This window comes from Homo sapiens, chromosome 2 (genome assembly GCF_000001405.40).
Source record: "Homo sapiens chromosome 2, GRCh38.p14 Primary Assembly".
NCBI classification, from domain to species: domain Eukaryota; kingdom Metazoa; phylum Chordata; class Mammalia; order Primates; family Hominidae; genus Homo; species Homo sapiens.
Window position 1 is genome coordinate 238,918,531 of NC_000002.12, and position 18,282 is coordinate 238,936,812.

General features: G+C 47.6%; 1 long non-coding RNA gene across 1 annotated transcript, besides 3 other annotated features; it reads right to left on the reverse strand.

Moving 5' to 3' along the window:
• Window positions 1-769: 769 nt before the first annotated feature.
• LINC01940 (long intergenic non-protein coding RNA 1940) lies at window positions 770-7,739 on the reverse strand. Its single transcript, NR_034162.2, has 10 exons — window positions 7,709-7,739; window positions 7,408-7,590; window positions 6,328-7,157; window positions 4,543-5,860; window positions 3,466-3,808; window positions 3,080-3,341; window positions 2,853-2,946; window positions 1,958-2,050; window positions 1,198-1,317; window positions 770-986 (listed from the first exon to the last, which is right to left on the reverse strand). It is a non-coding gene; the product is annotated as a long intergenic non-protein coding RNA 1940 (long non-coding RNA).
• Window positions 1,723-1,892: an enhancer, noted in NCBI's record as "experimental_57501 CRE fragment used in MPRA reporter constructs". NCBI's record gives its function as "activates a minimal promoter by MPRAs in K562 erythroleukemia cells, with activity observed for both the introgressed and non-introgressed 2:239842034 or rs79263949 variant alleles {active_cell/tissue: K562}" and the evidence as "EXISTENCE:reporter gene assay evidence [ECO:0000049][PMID:34662402]".
• Window position 1,808: a transcriptional cis regulatory region, noted in NCBI's record as "Neanderthal adaptively introgressed variant 2:239842034 (GRCh37/hg19 assembly coordinates) or rs79263949 in the experimental_57501 CRE". NCBI's record gives its function as "modulates activity of the experimental_57501 enhancer by MPRAs in K562 erythroleukemia cells {active_cell/tissue: K562}" and the evidence as "EXISTENCE:reporter gene assay evidence [ECO:0000049][PMID:34662402]".
• Window positions 5,761-5,930: an enhancer, noted in NCBI's record as "experimental_57510 CRE fragment used in MPRA reporter constructs". NCBI's record gives its function as "activates a minimal promoter by MPRAs in K562 erythroleukemia cells, with activity observed for the introgressed 2:239846072 variant allele {active_cell/tissue: K562}" and the evidence as "EXISTENCE:reporter gene assay evidence [ECO:0000049][PMID:34662402]".
• Window positions 7,740-18,282: the final 10,543 nt, after the last annotated feature.

Here is an 18,282-nt window from a genome sequence, read left to right on the forward strand (position 1 = left end):
ATAGATAGATAATAGGTAGACAGATAACAGGTAGGTTGGTAGATAGATAGACAGACAGATAGATAGATAGATAGATTCATCTGAGATTAAAAGCTTAAACTTAAAAATTACACCATAGTGAAGAGGGAACCCTTCTACGCTGCTGGTGGGAATGTAAACTCATACAACCACTATCGAAAACAGTGTGGAGATTCTTTAAAGAACTAAAAGTAGAACTACCATTTGATCCAGCAATCCCACTGCCATATCTACCCAGAGGAAAAGAAGTCATTATACGAAAAAAATACTTACACATGCATGTTTCTAGCAGCACAATTCACAATTGCAAAATCGTGGAGTCAACCCAAATGCCTGTCAATCAACGAGTGGATAAAAAACTCTGATATATATATATATGGATGGATATATATATATGATGGAATACTATGCAGCAATAAAAAGGAATGAATCAACAGCATTTGCAGTGACCTGGATGAGATTGGAGACTATTATTCTAAGTGAAGTAACTCAGGAATGGAAAAACCAAACACAGTATGTTCTCACTGATATGTGGGGGCTAAGCTATGAGGACTCAAAGGCATAAGAACAATACAATGGACTTTGGGGATTTGGGGGGAAGAGTGGGGGCAGTGAGGGATTAGAAGACTACAAATATGGTGCAGTGTATACTGCTCAGGTGATGGGTGCACCAAGATCTCACAAATCACCACTAAAGAACGTACTCATGTAACCAGATACCACCAGTACCCCAATAATTTATGGAAAATAATTACACCATAGCAGAGAGATTTTAATGGTCGTTGTGTGGTAATAAAGAGGCCCATGTCTGCACACACATTTCAGGCTTTATCAGTTTTACCATGGGGCCCTTCTAGGGTTCAGTCTCGTCTGCCGGGACAATTTCCCAGCGCCACGTCCCCCTGGTGCTCAGTCGCAGCTGTGAAGTTGGATCCATCGGTCAGGAGAGACTGACTCCTTAGGTGTGCCTGAGAAGATGGGAGGAGTCAGGAGCAGGGATGTCTGAATGGGGACGATGCACTAAGCGGCCGGTGTCTATGCCACAGTCACCTTTGCTTTCTCACACACTCGTTGGACAGAGAGGACTAAGCCCATAAAAAAGCAAGTAACAGGGACTCTCTTCTTTATCCCCAATTCACAGAGAAGCACACAGAGTTCTGGAGAGGTGAGCTGACTTGCCTGGGAGTAGGGGGCTGTGATTCCAGTGGGGCCTGCCTGACTTCCAAGGCTCCAGAGCTTGGAGCCTCATGCCACCTCCTCCCCTGTCTGTGGGCACAGGCATGACTTGATGTGAAAAGCCTGGAAAGTAAAGTGGATCTGTCTTAAATGCACTGCGAGAGGGTCTAATTTAAAATATGTCTTCAATGCATTTTAATCAAGTATTTCTCTTGCAGTGAGAATGATCATACCCCAGTGTGACAGTTTCATATCAGATCTCTTCAAATTGTGTTATCTTAGAGTACTCACCCGTGTATGCCTCCCTTGGCCAAATGAGATAGTTCCTTAATGGACATTAAAACTGTGCTCTGAAAAGCTTGTTGAAAATATGGACAGAGGCACGTAACATGTGGGTCACTGGAAGCATTTTCCAAAAGGCACAATCTACATCCCTGTGGGTCTCCAGGACTGACAAAGCCAGGAGCCCCATTCCAGGAGGACATGCATCATAGAAAAGGCATCAAATAAGACATTTACATAGCAGGCCCGGCCTTTCATTTAGCAACAGCTGGGACGGCATTAGGCAGCCCATGCTCCCACAGTGGCCTCAGTCCTTATGAAAGAAATAGGACCTGTTGGATTAACTCCTCCTAAACTGAGCATGCCCAGCAAGCATTCATACTGGAGGACTCTCCACCAGGAACACTGGGGCCAAGGATTTATATTCCAACAGACAGACCCACCTTCCCATCTTCTTGGCTTAGCCCGTGGCAGCACGTACCTTCAACCTGCGTTTTAGTGACCCACCATCTGTACCACTCCATCTGCTTCAATATCCCCTTTGCTGACATCATCTCCACTTTGGACGGTGGTGCTGGAGAAGCAGAAACACTGTGACTCTCTCCTCCCTGATCTGAAGGGGAGCTGGGAGGGCTGGGCCTGCAGTCTTGAGGGGCTTGGGGGAGTCTTGTCTCCGTAAGCTACCAGCTCTCCAAGCTTCACGAGCAATGGGGTGGAGATGCCCAGGAAATGTGCAGAGGGAAGAGTGCCCTGTGCTCTCTGAGGGAAGAGTGCCCTGTGCTCTTTGAGGGAAGAGTGCCCTGTGCTCTCTGCTCCCCTTCCCTACCTGGGGGCGGTGGATTCTGCCTTTGCTGGCTCAGTGCCTGGACTTGCATGGTGAGGCCTCAGGGCTGGTGGAGAGACAAAGGTGGAGAAGTTGGGACAGGGTGAGGACTGGAAGTGGCTGGGAGTCATCTGCGGAGGAGAAGGAAGGACAGGACAGGAACAAAGTGGGAGGCGGAAGGAAGTGCAGGAGTGCTGGGGGCTGGGGTATTTCTGGGTTCAAGGCTGAGAATGAGGGGAGCAGTTTCAGGGGAGTCATAGCAAGCAATGTGGAGAGTGGCCAGGGAGAGAGAAATGTTAAGATTTTGCTGTGCGTTCGGAGTACACCTTCCTCCCACAAGCCTCTTGGGACTTCAGTAAAGATTTGAATTATTGGGGCTGCTCTGCCTATGGAGTAGCTATTCTTTTATTCCTTTACTTTCTTAATAAACTTGTTTTCACTTAAAAAAAGATTTGAATTATTTTGGCATTAGACGGTGTGATGATTAATTCTATAGTCAGCTTGGCTGGACCACGGTGCTAAGATAGCTCGTCAAACATTACTCTGGATGCACCTGTAAAGGTGTTTCTAGATGAGATTAGCCTTCGAGTAAAGCAGGTGGCTCTCGTCAAAAGGGGTGGGCCTCACCCAATCAGTTGAAGGCCTGACTAGAACAAAGAGATTGACCAGCCTTGAGCAAGAAGGAATTCCACCCCCAGACTGCCTTAGGCCTCGAACTGTGACATGAGCTCCTTCCCAGGTCTCCAGCCTGCCGGCCCACCCTGCAGAGTTTGAACTTGCCAGCGTCAGCCAGTTCCTTAAAATAGCTCTCTTCTGATGTGCACACCTTGAGTGGCTCTGCTCCTCTGGAGAACACGCACTAGTACAGTTAGTGTCTTCATGAAGATGTAAGTCCTGTATTAGAGGGGCCCCTGGAAGGGACAGGCAGGTGCTAAGCTCAAGGCACCCACAAGGGGACACGGTTGACGTCTATCCTGGGGCCTGGGAGGCACACAGGGGAGCCACAATCTGGGCTGGGACCAAGGGAAGGTGGCTTGGGGATCTGTAACCCACACAGAAAACAACCAGATAAGAATAAAAGCAAGCAATAAATGACGTGCAAGAAGAAAAAGACGAAGGCTCTTATAATAAGAAAAATACAAACACCCAATGATAAAAATATCCACCTCCTGAGACGGGTTTCAGCTCCCACCTGCCCTTGCCTGGGCCTCCGTCTTGATGATGCATGGGGGCTTACAGCACTCAGGAGGTGCCCAGACACGGGTGCAGTTGCTGCTGGCCGTGGAAAGGGTCGCCCGACCACCTCCCCGTCTCCACTTGTCTTCTTCCTCCATAAGCCATGGGGATCGGCTGGGTGTCTGGCAGAAGCCATCAGGTCTGTAATGGGCTGAAGTGTGTCCTCCTGGAATTCACACGTTGAAGTCCTGACCACCAGTGCTTTAGGCTTTATCCGCAAGAGGCTTTATCTGAAGGAGGCTTTATCTGGAGAGAGGGTCTCCACAGAGGTCACTGATTTAAATTGAGGTCATTAGAGAGGGCACTGATCCAATAGGGCCAATGTCCTCATAAAGAGGAGATGTGGTGACAGAGGCAGACACAATTAGAGGGAAGGGGAGGTGAAGGACATGGGCGGAGCCAGTGCCTGCACTCCCAGGAGAGAGGCCTGGGACAGAACCCCCCACACAGCCTGAGAAGGACCCAGCCCCGCCCACACTGTGATCTCAGGCTTCAGCCCCCACTGCCGGGACAAGATCCGTTTCTGTGGCCTGAGCCCCCGGCCCTCGGGGCCTCTTTGCAGCAGCTCCAAGACACGGACACAAAGCTGTCCCACTCCCTGGCCACGCCTGCTTTGAGAACCACATGAACAGTACAGAAAATGATACAGAGTGTGAGACCAGGGGTGCAAGGCACCGTGGGGCCTGTTTGACATCCCAAGATTGCAGACCCCTAAGGCAGAGTGACACTTCCTGTCACCTGTGCCTGGGTCAGACTTCCCTGGCTGGAGGGAGGACGGGAAGGTGCCAGCAATGAAGACAGTGGTGATGCCATGAGGCCAATGATGGCGATCATTTGATAACCAGACAGAAATGTTGTTTCCCATCCTCCCTGCTGGCACTCAGCATAGAGTAAAATCACGCACAGGTACAGAGGAGGGCAGCCCCAGACAGCCACCTCCTCCTGCCACCTGCTTCCCTCCCCACCTGCAGGCAGGAGAAGTGGGGGGCAAGGCCACACACACTCACTTTTGAGCACATCCTCTGTGGAGACTTGGAGCTAGAGAGACAAGAGGGTCCTTGGCTAATGGCAGATGACACCTTAGAGAGGGGCCGTCTTCCAGGGATGCTGTGTCCAGCCCAGGCCACTGTCTGATTGGTGATGTCCCTCTAAAAAGCATAATGTGGCTGGGCACGATGATGCACATCTGTAATCCCAACACTTTGGGAGGCCGAGGAGAGCAGGTGGCTTGAGTTCGGGAGTTTGAGACCAGCCTGGGCAACAGGGCAAAACCCCATTTCTACAAACACACACACACATACACACATTAGCCAAGTGTGGTGGTGCATGCCTGTAGTCCCAGCTACTCAGGAGGCTGAGGTGAGAGGATTGCTCAAGCCTGGGAGGTCGAGGCTGCAGTGAGCTGAGATGGTGCCATTGCACTCCAGCCTGGGTGACAGAGCAAGACCCTGTCTCAAAAATAGGCACAAATATTTTAAGTTGAGCTTCAACTTCAAAATGCTCTCTTAGGGGTAGAATGCCATCACCTCCCCACCCAACCCCCGCCACCTGCAGACTCCCAACTTCACAAGTCTTCTGGGAAGTTCTCTGCTGTTTGGGAGTTTTCAGTGGCAGATGAAATTAGCAATTTGACCCCCTCCCACTGTATCTTAACGCAGCTCTGAAGGACCTCTACCCTTTCTGAGTGACTCCCTGGGCCCGTCAGCTCATCTAAATATACTAAACTCAGGGCTTCAAAATCAAGGCTAAATTTCAGAGGGCAAAATGTCTGATTGCAGGGCCATGGCAACTCACTGATCCCCAACATGCTGTGTTTAATGCAATCTGGGGGGCGGTGGATAGAGGGGCCCCTGCTTTAATTTTGAGTCTGCTACCTCCAGGCCCAACATGTCTTCAGGTATTTTTACTCTCAAAAATGTTTCCAATTGGAATGCAGTAAATTAGGACCATCTCCTTCGGCAAAAATGAGATCGAAAGGCATTTAGGAATCACTTTCAAAATCCCAAGATCTGAGGAGGAAGAAGGAGTTGAGACTTTCAAGGTTGAAATCCCAGCCATTCTAGAAGCGTGTGCTGTGCAAAGCATGCCTCTGATGTCGCCCCTGCCCTTCCTCGAGCGAGAGCTGCACGTGTGGACACTGATTCTTCTCTGCCAGAGCAGCTCCAGGGATGCCCTGGAGCCTTCCGAGTTTGCTGGGAAGGAGGTGGAGTGTCGGCGTCCCCAGCCCTCTCTCTGAACTGGGTGCTGGATGTAGCTTGCTTCCTGTTTCATGGTCTCGGTCCTGTTCTGGGGTCCTGATCCTGTTCCGTGATCCCGGTCTTCTACCTAAAACGTTTTATGCTAAAAGCTTTCCAGGCATAGATCCGTAGAAATTGAGGCTCACAACAGTGCCCCAGGCGGACTTGGGCCAGGACACTCTTTCAGAGAGGGTTTTTGGCTGTCTAACCCATTAATAGGTAAAAAAGGAAAAAAAAGGAGAGAAGTAGGTATTTAGGAGAAGGGGTAGGGCTTAGCACCCAGCATCACCCCCACTGTTTCAGCCGCCTCCCCTTGAAGGGTTCAGTTCCAAATGGCAGTTTTACTGCAGAGAAAACAAGCTTGGGAAGGGAGTGTGGACTTGACCTCGGTCACACAGCAAGATAACAGCAGAAACCAGGAAAGATCCATGGTCATCCAAAGCCAGGTCCCTGCTCCAAGGGAAGAACCAAGGAGAACCCAGAGCCTGCCTAAGACGGGAGGCCCAGGAAATCACAGCCCTTTGCAAACCCCCAATGCCTGCTATTCAAACACACCTTCTGGCCTCTCCATCATGCCCGACCTGGGACAAGAGAATCGGCTCATCCCAGAAGGATACTTGGCATAGCCATGCACCCCTGTCCTGCCTCTGCGACAGCAGCCGCTGCAAGCATAGATGGGAACCAGTTTGGTAGCTCCTCGCTGGCTCTAGGTGCCTGCAGCGTTGCACACGGTTGGCAAAGGGTCGGAGCCAGCTGCCTTTCCCTTGCTTCCTGCCGTTTTGGCATTGGCAGCTGTCCACGTGCTTTGTCCGGGTGTTTGGGTCTTTTCCCAGCATCACTGTGGAGCCTACAGAATCCACTGGGACAGGCTGCAGGTGGGACCCAGAGAGCGAGAGGCAGACGGCCTTTGCATAGCCACCCTGGGAGAAGTAGATGGAGAACTCTGTACAGAGCCTGTGCCTGGGCTCCTGCTCTCGGGGCAGGAGGACCAGCCGACCTGTGGAGAGGGGAGTTGTCTTTGCTTCCATCTGGGCCATGACAGCCAAGGCCAGGAAGGTGTCCGCGCCTGGGACCTGAGAGCCTCGGGGTGTTTGGCCCTTGGGGTTTGCATTCCAGGGCTTACAGCGAGGAGCCAGGGAGCTGAGATTCAAACCCAGCCAGTGCTGGTGAGGAGCGGCATGGAGGGGAGTCGAGGCGAGCTCTGCATGCTGACTCCAGAGCAAAGCCTTCCCTTTGAGCGCGGCTGAAACATTTGCTGCACTCCAAGCCATGGAGCAGTTGGGGCTGAGAGAAACGGGGACAGTTTGGGCTCTGTTTTTGCTGAATGTTGTCTCTCCTTCGGTTGTCTCACAGCTGAGGTTCACAGCACGTGTCATGCTGTGTTCCTGGAAGAAGCAGAAAGCCACTGTTGGAAACGTAATTTGGGTCTCAGTTTCCTCAGCTATAAAATAGGGATTAGAAACCTCAATTCTACCTTTCTTGTGGGTCTTTGTGACAACGAGTAAGATAATCTACATGAAAACATTTTGTATGGGATCTGATGATTGATTTTGAATAAAATAATCAGATAATGTGCAACATGCTTTGACACAGGTTCTTGCGCCTCTACTTCCCAGGCCCCTCAGTGGCGCCCACCTTTGTTGTAGCCCGGCGTGCGGGGGAACCGCCCAGCAAACCTTCGCAGAGCCTCCTGGGACCCGAGTGTCAGCTGAGGCTGGGACCTGTGGAGGACGGGGCCTTCCATGTAGAAGAAAGTCTGAAGGAGGAAGGGAAATGGCACCATGCTCCTCCCAGGTACACAGAAGACGCTTTGCGGAGCTGAACGTGCAGTGAATAACATAATCAATGAATTCCACAGTCAATGAGCAAAATACTCTACACAAACCTTATTTGCACTATGCACGTAAGGCACAATCTGCCTGTCCTCACCACGTACTTCACTCAGCTTCGGGGTGACAGCTTGGAATGAACAGATGACATCACACCGCTGCCCTGGTAACACAATGCTGAGGGCTTCTTTTGTGTTTGTTTTTAGCCATTTGATTAATTGTGAGGCGTCAGGACTAGTGCGTATAGGATGAGCCTGGGCCCACCCTCCTCAGGAGCTGGGCCAGACGGCCCTCCCCGACATCTCCCAAGGACCTGACCACTGTACCCTGAACTTTTCCCCTTCACACATACCTATTCCCACCCATTCAGTAAAGACATTCAAGGAAAATGTTTTCTCTGCACATACCCCAACTCCCAAATGTTCTTTCATTTCTGTTTCAAAACAGTGAGCATGCTGTTAACAGAAGCTTAGCTAAGCCACTGCACTCCATCCTCAGGTCTCCAGTGAGGGAAAGTCAGGTTTCAGGTGCGGAAGAGAAAGGGCACACATAGTCTCCCCTGCCTCCCAGACCCTCAGGAGCCCCCACCTTCCTGTGGCCCCTTGTTTGGGGAACAGCCCAGCTAACCTTCCCAGAGCCTCCTAGGAGCCAGGTGAGGCTGAGGCGGGGACTCACAGAAGACAAGGCCCTCCACGCGGATGAAAGCCTGAACCAGGAGTGGGATGGCAGAGTGCTCCTTGCAGGTGCTCAGAAGGGGCTTTCACAGAGGAACGTCTGTTTCTCGGGCTTTCCGGGAGCGGGGTCCAGCTAAGCTCAAGGCCAAGGAACTTCACAGAACAAAACTGCCCCCATCCTGCCCTCAGGAAGGATCAAGGCCTTATGCCGGGGGCCACAGTGTGGGGCGTCTCAGCCCTGGCTGGATTTGGGGGAGGTGACAGGGGCCGTGAAAGGACAGCCACATGTCCTGTCGTTTCCCAGGCTCTGCATGGCTGGGCGTGCAGGGTGGCCAGAGGCTGCCACCTTGCGTAGGTAGGAGCCAGGGGCGGGGCACAGAGGAGGGTGAGACTGCTTGAGGTGGGAAATGGGGGAGCAGGTGATCACCAAGAGGGGACGTGAAGAGGAGGGGGAGCAGACCAGTCTGGCTGTGGCGGGGGGAGGCGATGGCGCCAGCCTCCGTGAGCCACCAGGCAGGTGAGGCCTCTAGGTGAAGTGTTCAGGAGGCATTTGGAGGTTTGGATGTGGCCTTGAATGGATGTCCTGTGGGAAGGGAGGTGCATTTGGGGAGCCGGGGCAAGGTTTCCAGGCAGGTACTCTGGAGCAAGGGCTGCAGTGGCACGGCCGCCTAGGCAGCAGGATGCTGGAGCAGAGGGAGACACAGAGTGGCCTGGGAGAATCGCTGCATGAACCCAACATGGAGGGCGGGAGCAGGTGGCCTGAGTTGAGATGCAGGCAGCACCTGGCAGGTGTGGTCAGTGGTGAAGGAGTGTGGAGCCCCAGGCTCTGTGTGGGGTGCAGGATTGGGAGCAGCTGCAGGGGAGGGGAGGAGACAGATGCAGAGCTCTGTAACCCCAAGGAGAGCAGAGGGGTCTCTGCAAAGTCCAGAGGGTACAGGGGAGATGGGGGCCATGGGGGACAGCTGGTGGCCTGGAAGCAGGAGCGTGTGGGATGACCTCTCGTGCTGGCAGAGCTGGTGGATGGGGTGCAGCAGGAGGCTAAGTTGCACAAGGTAGGAAGCCTGGCAGGAGGGCCCATCTCTGGTGGGGGGTCTACAGGCCCGCGGGGCTGGAAGCAACAGGTTTCCCAGTTGTGCTGCCAAGTTCCCACTCAGGAACGTCTGAGTAGAACGTTCTCCACACCACAGAGGGGCACCGCTAGCTGGACACATGCCTCCTCCTGGGGTCCCAAGGTGTTTAAAGCCTCACGTTTCTAAGGGAGTCCTGCAGCAAGTGCTTCATGGACAGTGCACAGAGCTGTCCAATGCAGTCTCCATGGCCCCCATCACCTGGGAAGGCCTTCAGGGGAGGTGAGAATAGCTCTGGGTTGGGGAAGAAACAAGAAGGGGGCTCAGCCAGCATGAACCCTGGGACTCTAGCTGGGACCAGCTGCCTTTCTTCAGGGAGGCCTTCTGCAGAGCTGCCAGGGCAGCATGAGGAGCCCCTGGGAATGTGGAGGGAGCAGGGCACCCAAGGGCTCTCGGTCCCTGCTGCATCACTGAGCGGCTGGATCAAACTTCTCCTGAAGGTCTCCGAACCCGTGGCCTCTCCACCGAGGTGAGTGCATGGTCCTTATTACTTACCTCCATTTGGGCTGGATCTCCTGTCTGTTTACAACACAAAAAGTTCCAACGGACAGGGTGCTCAAAACTGCCACCAAAAATAGAGATCACATCACTGTTGCTAAAAACAGTCGTGTGTGCAGAATTTCAGGAGGGAGAACAAGGAAGCCTTTCTTGATATATTGGCATCCCAACAAACTACATCCAAACAGTAGCATTTCCAATGACACCAAAGAAAACAGGAACTGCTGCCAGGCTTGCCATCCTGGGAGTCCCAGGGAACGTGGCGACCGAGGGCTCACCTTGACCCCTGCCAGGTGTGGGCGGCCTCTGCACAGCCCATTCTCACTGCTGGAAATAGAGCAAATGAAGAGTTTTCTGATTTGACAAAACACAGCACAAAAAAACAACAACAGAAACAACAGCAAATAGCCCGAGTTTTCCTCCACGTCCCCATCTGTAAGGAAGCGACTGTAGAAACCAAACAGAACCAGCAGGGCCATTGGGGAAAGTAATGGGCTGATAAACGAGCAGAAAGGACCACCCAGGTGTTAGCTGTCATGCCGGGGGGCTATGTGGGTGCTCCAGGTTTTCAATGTCCAGAGATGAGAAGTTCCAGAAAGGTACTGGAAGCCGAGCCCAGCCCCCGCTCCTCAAGCTGGAGAGTCCTGGCCTACATTCTGCACGTCAGCGTGGCTGGACTGGCAGGTGTGAGGGCGCTCATTTCTGATGGACACGCCGGAGATAAGGCCCTTGAGACCTGTGCCCATGCCCTTCTTGTTCCGTGGGTGCCATTGCCACCACAATGCCCTCAACAGAACCCTAAACAAGGTGCGCCCAATGAGCAGCGTGCGGAAGCCCTGGAGGAGGTGCTGGTCTAGAACCCGGATCCCCACACCCTCACATCAGAGCAGAGTGCTCAAGCTTCCCACAAGGGTGGGGTAGGTCTTTATTCAGCACACAGCAGAGTGTTTTTTCTCATCTGTGTTTTTTTCTTTGGAAACAGACTTTCCACACAGGATGTGACTTCTTTACTTCTTAGTCTTGCTTCTTTAAAACTTGTTACTTCTTTAGTTTTGTTCGGATTTTGAAAACACATCGTTTTGATGCCAAGATTAACAAATGTGGCTCTTTATCATGTTGGAATTGACCCAACAATTCACAGATTTAAAAAAAAATAAGACAAGGCGAATCACGTTGGAAAAAGTTGCACATTCTTTTCGTCACATGGTCCTGCTGACCCCACAGGCCCAGTTCCTCCCACTGCCCATTCTTGGGAGTTGTAAGAATGAATAAAAAACAAAACCAAAGCTCCCTGCCTTCATTTTTATGTCCTTTGTGCTGACAGTGTCTTCCTGCCACAGCCCTTCTGTGTAAACAGCCAAATCTCTGTCCCTCCTCGTTGGCTGATTGGAGCAGGGTGAATGCTGGACCAGACGGCAGCCAACCGCTAAGCTGCCAAGGGCTGTGGCATGGGTGGCCTGGATCAAAAAGATGAGCTGGCCAAGTGGAGTCCTTCTGGGGACTGGGAAACACAGAGGCTGAGCTCACTGGCTGCAAGAGCAGAGACCAGGAGGATACCTATCTGGATTCAGCAGCAGGGGCCGGGGAGGCTGCAGTGTGTGAGCCCTGAGCAAGCTGGGGAGATGAGGGACCAGGACCTGTGAGGATGGAGAGGGAGCAGGCTGGCAGAGGAGCCCTGGAGGAAGCAAAGATGACCACACTGCCCCGGGAGCAGGTGGAGTGGGCAGTCACCCTTATTCCTGATTGCCTCTCTCCTTCCAGACCTTTTGTTTTACGGTACATAGCCTTGTCCAGACATCTTTTAGGGCCTCTCTCGCATCCTCTTAACCTGCCCATGTCCTGATGGTGCTTCACTAGGATGTCAGATGCTTCTCATCATCTGCCCAGGGCTCCTGGGCACCTGTCATGGGATAGAACTCATCTCTTCTGGGTCCCATAAGTGACAGCACAGGGGAGTTCACAGACCCTGGAGCAACTCTCCATCCATGGGACAGAAGCAGGAAGATAAATACCCCTCTTCCGCATCGTAGAGAAGGGGACAATTCTGACCCCATTGTCCATGACTGCTCAGAGGGTCCTCTGCATAACTAAGCCCCTGTTTCCAGCAGTGGCGACTGGCTCGGTGACACAGCCTTGGGTCAGCTTTCCCTCCTCCCTCCTTCATCTGCCCGGTCCCCCTAGTCCCTTTTCCCCTGGGAACTTAAAAAATGAGTAATCTATATAAAAGCTTGGCCTCAGAGTCTTCTTTGAGGGGGAAGCCAAGCAGTGGCACCCATGTTGTTGAGGGAACTTCAACGAATCGCTCTTATTTTGGACTTGCAACCAAAATAGCTCAATCTAGAAGGTCTTTTAAAAAGCAATTGAAACTTCCACTTCCAGGAAAATAGCAAACTAAGTTACTCAAATAAAATTCCTGCTGAAAACAAATTAAAATGCTGGAAAAATGTTTTTAATTCTTAAAAGCAATGAAGAGCAAACAAGATAGTAAGAAATAAACAGGCTAAACTATTTTTTAAAAAGTGGAATCCAGATAAAAATGAAGAATGTAAGCTGATAGTACTCCAAGGATATTTGAAGATCGAGGCAAAATTGGACTGCAGTAGCTTTGCTAGTCTACATGGTGCAGAGACCTCTCAAGATGGGGAGTCTAATGAGAGACCCTGTTCACATTGATCTGAGATCTCCCCCAACTGGACCACCACATTCTCCATACAACACCCAGGAGAGTTGAAGGAGAGGTACCTTCAAGGCACTGAGCAGAATACAGAGGAAAACCTACTTGTGACACATATTTGCACCCTACATTTAGATGCCTTTGGTGATCAAAACAAAAATGGAATTCTAAAAAATGTTCAGGTAACCCCCAAAAAGATGGAAAAAATGAAACAGAATCAACAAAAAAATAAAATAAAATAAAATGACAGACAAATCTTAATGCATCAATAATTACATTAAATGCAAGTGGTCTAAAAACACCAATAAAAGATAGAAATTGACAGGTTGGATTAAAAAACATTTCTCAACTACACACTGTCTACAAGAGACTCACTTCAAATATAATGATATGATAAGCAGATTGAAAGTAAAAAGATTTTTAAAAGATACTTTATGCAAACATTAATCCAAAGAAAGTAGAAGTGGCTATGTCGATATCAGATAAAGTAGATTGCAGAGCAAGTAAGATTACCAGAATTGGAGAGGAGACATTATATAGTAATAATGATCAATCCAACAAAAATACGTAGCAATCCTAAATGTGTATGCAGCAAACAACAGAATTGCAAAACATGGGAAGCAAAAATTAATAGAACTGAAAAGGGAAATAGACAAATCCACAATTATAGTTGGAGACTTCAAGTCCCTTTATCAACCATTGATAGAACTAGACAAAAGATCATCAAGAATATAGAAGAGCTCAAAACACCATCAACCAATAGTATGTGATCAATATTATTAGAGCAGTCCACCCAAGAACATCAGAACACATTTTCTTTGTAAATCCCAACAGAACATATATTAAAACAGACCACATCCTGGGCCATAAGACAAATTTCAAAAAATTCAAAAGAATGAAAATCATGCAGAGTGTGTGCTCCAGCCACAGTGCAATCAAACAGAAGTCAATAACAGAAAAACAATGGAGGAAAAACTCCAAAAACCTGGAAACAAAAAAGTCACGAAACCCCAAAACCACACATTGGTCAAAGAGAAAATCTCAGGGAAATTTAAAAAAGTAAATTGAACTGAAGGAAAATGAATATACAACATCTTAAAATTCATAGGACACAGCTAAAGCAGTGCTAAGAGGGAAATTTATAACACTAAAAGCATATATTAAAAAAGAAAAAGTCTCAAATCAATAATCTTTTTTTTTTAAATGGAGTCTTGCTCTGTCATCCAAGCTAGAGTGTGGTTGTGCGATCTCGACTTACTGCAGCAACCTCCACCTCCCAGGTTCAAGCGATTCTCCTGCCTCAGCCTCCAGAGTAGCTGGGATTATAGGTGAGCACCACCACACCTGCTAATTTTTGTATTTTTAGTAGAGACAGGGTTCCACCATGATGGCCAGGCTGGTCTCGAACCCCTGACCTCAGGTGATCTGCCCACCTTGGCCTCCCAAAGTGCTGGGATTGCAGGTGTGAGCCAACAAAAGGAAGAAAATAATAAAGATAAGAAAGAAAATCACTGAAATTGAAAACAGAAAAGCAATAGGAAAAATTAGTGAAACAAAGTGAGTGCCACTTTGAAAAGATCAATAAAATTGACAGAACTCTAGCAATGCTGACAAAAAAAATGAGAGAAGGCAGAAATTACCAATATCAGTAATGAAGCAGGCGATATCGCCACAAACTCTGCAGATATCAAAAGTATAGAGAGGGAATACTATGAACAACTCAACATAAATCTGTCAACTTAGAAGAAATGAACCAATTTCTTTATTTAAGATAAACCCAAGCCCACGATTTACCCAATATGAAACAAATCATTTGAATAGCCTGTACATATATTACAAAAATTAAATTCATAGTTTTAAGACAAAAAAACTTTATGCCTAGATAATTTCACTGAGAATTCTCCTAAACACTTAAATAGGAATTAACATTAATTCTACACAATCTTTTCTGGAATTAAAGAATAGGAGATAACAATTTATTTTATGAGGCTAACATTACCCTTATACCAAAACCAGACAGAGACAGTACATAAAACAGTATACTATAGACCAATATCTCTCATAAATATCAGTGCAAAAATTCTTAACAAAATATTGACAAATTAAATTCAACAATATATAGAAAGAATTATATACTAAGACCTAGTAGGATCTATTCCAGAGATACAAGGCTTGTGTGGTATTTGAAAATTTTAAATATGGTTCATTATATTAAAAGGCTAAAAAAGAAATCAATTGATTTATTAATTGCACAAAAACATTTTTAAAATAGGCAATACCCATTCATGGCAAAAAATAAGATTCTTAGAAAAATATGAACAGAGAAGGACTTACTCAACTTGATTAAAAGTGTCTACGAAAAACCTTAGCTACATTCTACTTGATGGAAAAAGACTGAATGCTTTCCCTCTAAGATTGGGAATTTGGAAAGGATGTGGACTTTCACCACTCTTACCTAATATATTGCTGGATGTGCAGAAAGAAAAGGAAGCAAATAAAAGGCATATATAATGGAAAGGAAAAAATGGAACTCCCTATTTGCAAATGGCATGGTTGCCTACATGGAAAATTCCAGGGAGTCTATTAAAAAAAAATTCTAGGACTAGTGAGTTCAGCAAGTTCACAGGTATAAGATAAACATACAAAAATCAATTGTATTTATATGTACTACTAACAAACATGTGTACACTGAAATTAAAAATACAATGCTATTTACAATTGTTCCAAAAACTTGAAATTCCTAGGTTCTAATAAATCACGTACAGGACTTGTATGCTAAAACCACACAGTGCAGATGACAGAAAACAAAGGAGATTGATATAAATGGAGGGACATACCATGTTCATGGATTGGAAGACTCAACATAGTAAAGATGTCTATTCTCCTGAAACTGATGTGCAGGTTTAACAAAACTTTGGTCAAAACCTCAGCAAGATTTTTTGTAGAAACTGACAATATTATTCTTGTCTATTCATCTGAAAAGGCAAAGCAATTAATAGCTAAAACAACTTGCAAAAGAATAAAGTGGAAGGAATCAGTCCATCCAATTTCAAGACTTATTGTGTAGCCAAAGTAATCAAGAGTGTATGACATTAGCAGAGGGAGAGACACATAGATCAATGGAACAGAACAGAGAACCCAGAAGTAGACGCACACCAATAGATCCAACTGATTTTTTAAAGAGGTACAAAGACAATTCAAGGAAGGAAAGATAGCCTTGCACTATATGGTGCTGGAGCAATTGGACATCAAAAGGCAAAACATGAACCACAGCCTAAGTCTCACTCCTTATAAAATATTAACTCAAAATGGATCACGGACTTAAATGTAAAACCCAAAACTATAAACGTTTAGTGGGAAGTGGGGGGAACAGAAGAGAAAATCTTTGAGTCTAGGGCTAGGCAAAGCCTTCTTAGACTTGACACCAAAAATCCAAGCTATCAAAGGAAAAATTAATAAACTGGACCTCATCAAAACCTTAATACTTTTTCTCTGTGAAAGATCCTGTTAAGAGGATGAATAAACAAATTATATACCTGGAGAAAATATGTGCAAACCACATATTTGACAGAAGAGAAGTATCAAGACTATATAAAGACCTCACCACTCAATAGTAAAAAAATCAATTCAAATAGAAAATGGGCAAAGAAGGAGCACAGACATTTTACAGAAAACAATCTACAGATTGCAAATAAGTATGTGAAAATATAGTCAACATTATCAGCCACTGGGGAAATACAAATTAAAGCCACAATATCGTTTCACACTTATCAGAATGGCCGAGTAAAAACAGTGACAACCCTAAATGCTGGTGGGAATGTGGAGAAACTGGATCATTTATACATGTCTGGTGGACTATAAAATGATGCGGCCACTCTGGAAAACAGTTTGGAAGTTTCTTAAAATACTAAACATTCTGAGGTGGGCAGATCACTTGAGGTCAGGAGTTTGAGACCAGCGTGACCAACATGGGGAGACCCCATCTCTACTAAGATACAAAAAACATTGGTCAGACGTGGTGGTGCACACCTGTAGTCCCAGCTACATGGGAGGCTGAGGCAGGAGAATCACTTGAACCCAGGAGGCAGATGTTTCAGTGAGCACAGATCGCACCACTGCACTCCAGCCTGAGCAACAGAGCTAGACTCCCATCTCAAAAAAACAAAACAAAACAAAACAAAACTAAACTAAACATTCAATACTATATGATCTAGCAATTTTACTCTTGAGCAGCATTTATCTGAGAGAAATGAGAACTTATATTCACACAAAAACCTGTACATAAATGTTCATAGCAGTTTTTTCATAGTGGCCAAAAATTGGAAACAACAGAGATTTTCTTCAAACGGTGAATGGTGAGATGAGGTGTGTGTGCTGCATCCTTGCCATGGAATACTATGAGGCAATGAAAAGGAGCGTGTATTGAACACACAGAAACCAGGGCAAACCTCCAGAGAACTGTGGTGAGTGAAAACAGCCAGATCCAAAAGACCACATGCCGCATCATTCCATTTACATAACGTTCTTGAGGTGGCAGAATTGTAGACATAGAGAACAGATGAGCAGTTGCAAAGAATTAGGGTGGGGGTGCTGGGCGTGGTGGCTCACCTGTAATCCTAGCATTTTGGGAGGCTAAGGTGGGCAGATCACCTGAGGTCTGGAGTTTGAGACCAGCCTGACCAACATGGAGAAACCCCGTCTCTACTAAAAAAAAAAAATACATGTGTGTGGTGGCACATGCCCGAAATCCCAGCTACTCAGGAAGCTGAGGCAGGGGAATTGCTTGAACCTGGGAGGCGGAGGTTGCAGTGAGCCAAGATCATGCCATCGCACTCCAGCCTGGGCAACAAGAGTGAAACTCCATCTCAAAAAAAAAAAAGAATTAGGGTGGAGGATGGAAAGTGGGTACGGCTGTAAGATGACAATGCGAGGGACCCCCACGATAAGGGACAGTTGAAGAATGGAATGGTGGCATATTTTGACCATGTCAATGTCAATTTTCTGGCTGTGAGGCTGCACTGTCGTTTTCTAAGATGTTACTATTGGCAGGAGCCGAGTGAAGCACGTGGGGATCTCCCTGTATGATTTCCTAGGGCTGCATACGAATCTACAATTATCACAAGATAAAAAGGTTGATTAAAAACAAGCAAAAGTACACAAAAGTAAAAGTTTATGAAGATGATACTCTTGTGTGTGAAGTTACCTCTGCTTGTTACTGTGTGAGAGCAGGGACCGACCAGGGTCAGCGTGGGGACCCGTGTTTAGTGGCAGCTGCAACCTTTAGCTGGGCACTGCTCTTCGCTTGGTCCTCGGCATCCCCCTTCTACGTGAGAAATGAAAGCTCTCCAGACTTGAAGAGAAACCCCCAGAACCCTCTCCGCTTTCTTCTTCCATGTTGCAGGCATGGTCTGGGTGCCTGTACTTGTTAAACTCATAACCATGCTTCTTCTCTATGCTCTTCATGAGACACAAGAGACGAGGGTGCAGAGCTGGAATTTGCCTTCCTGCCTAATTGCATGTCTCTACCCACTGCAACTCAAGCCCTGTGATGGTCTGGCCACTGTCTCCTTTATTCCCTGCTGGACTCTGGTTCCTAGTGTGGCAATTAGCATGTTGCATCTGCCCAATCAAGTGCTGAATCCATAGACCCACAGCAAGTCCATCTTGGTCCAGTGTAGCAGCGAGCGCTGCCATTCCCTGGGCCAGGG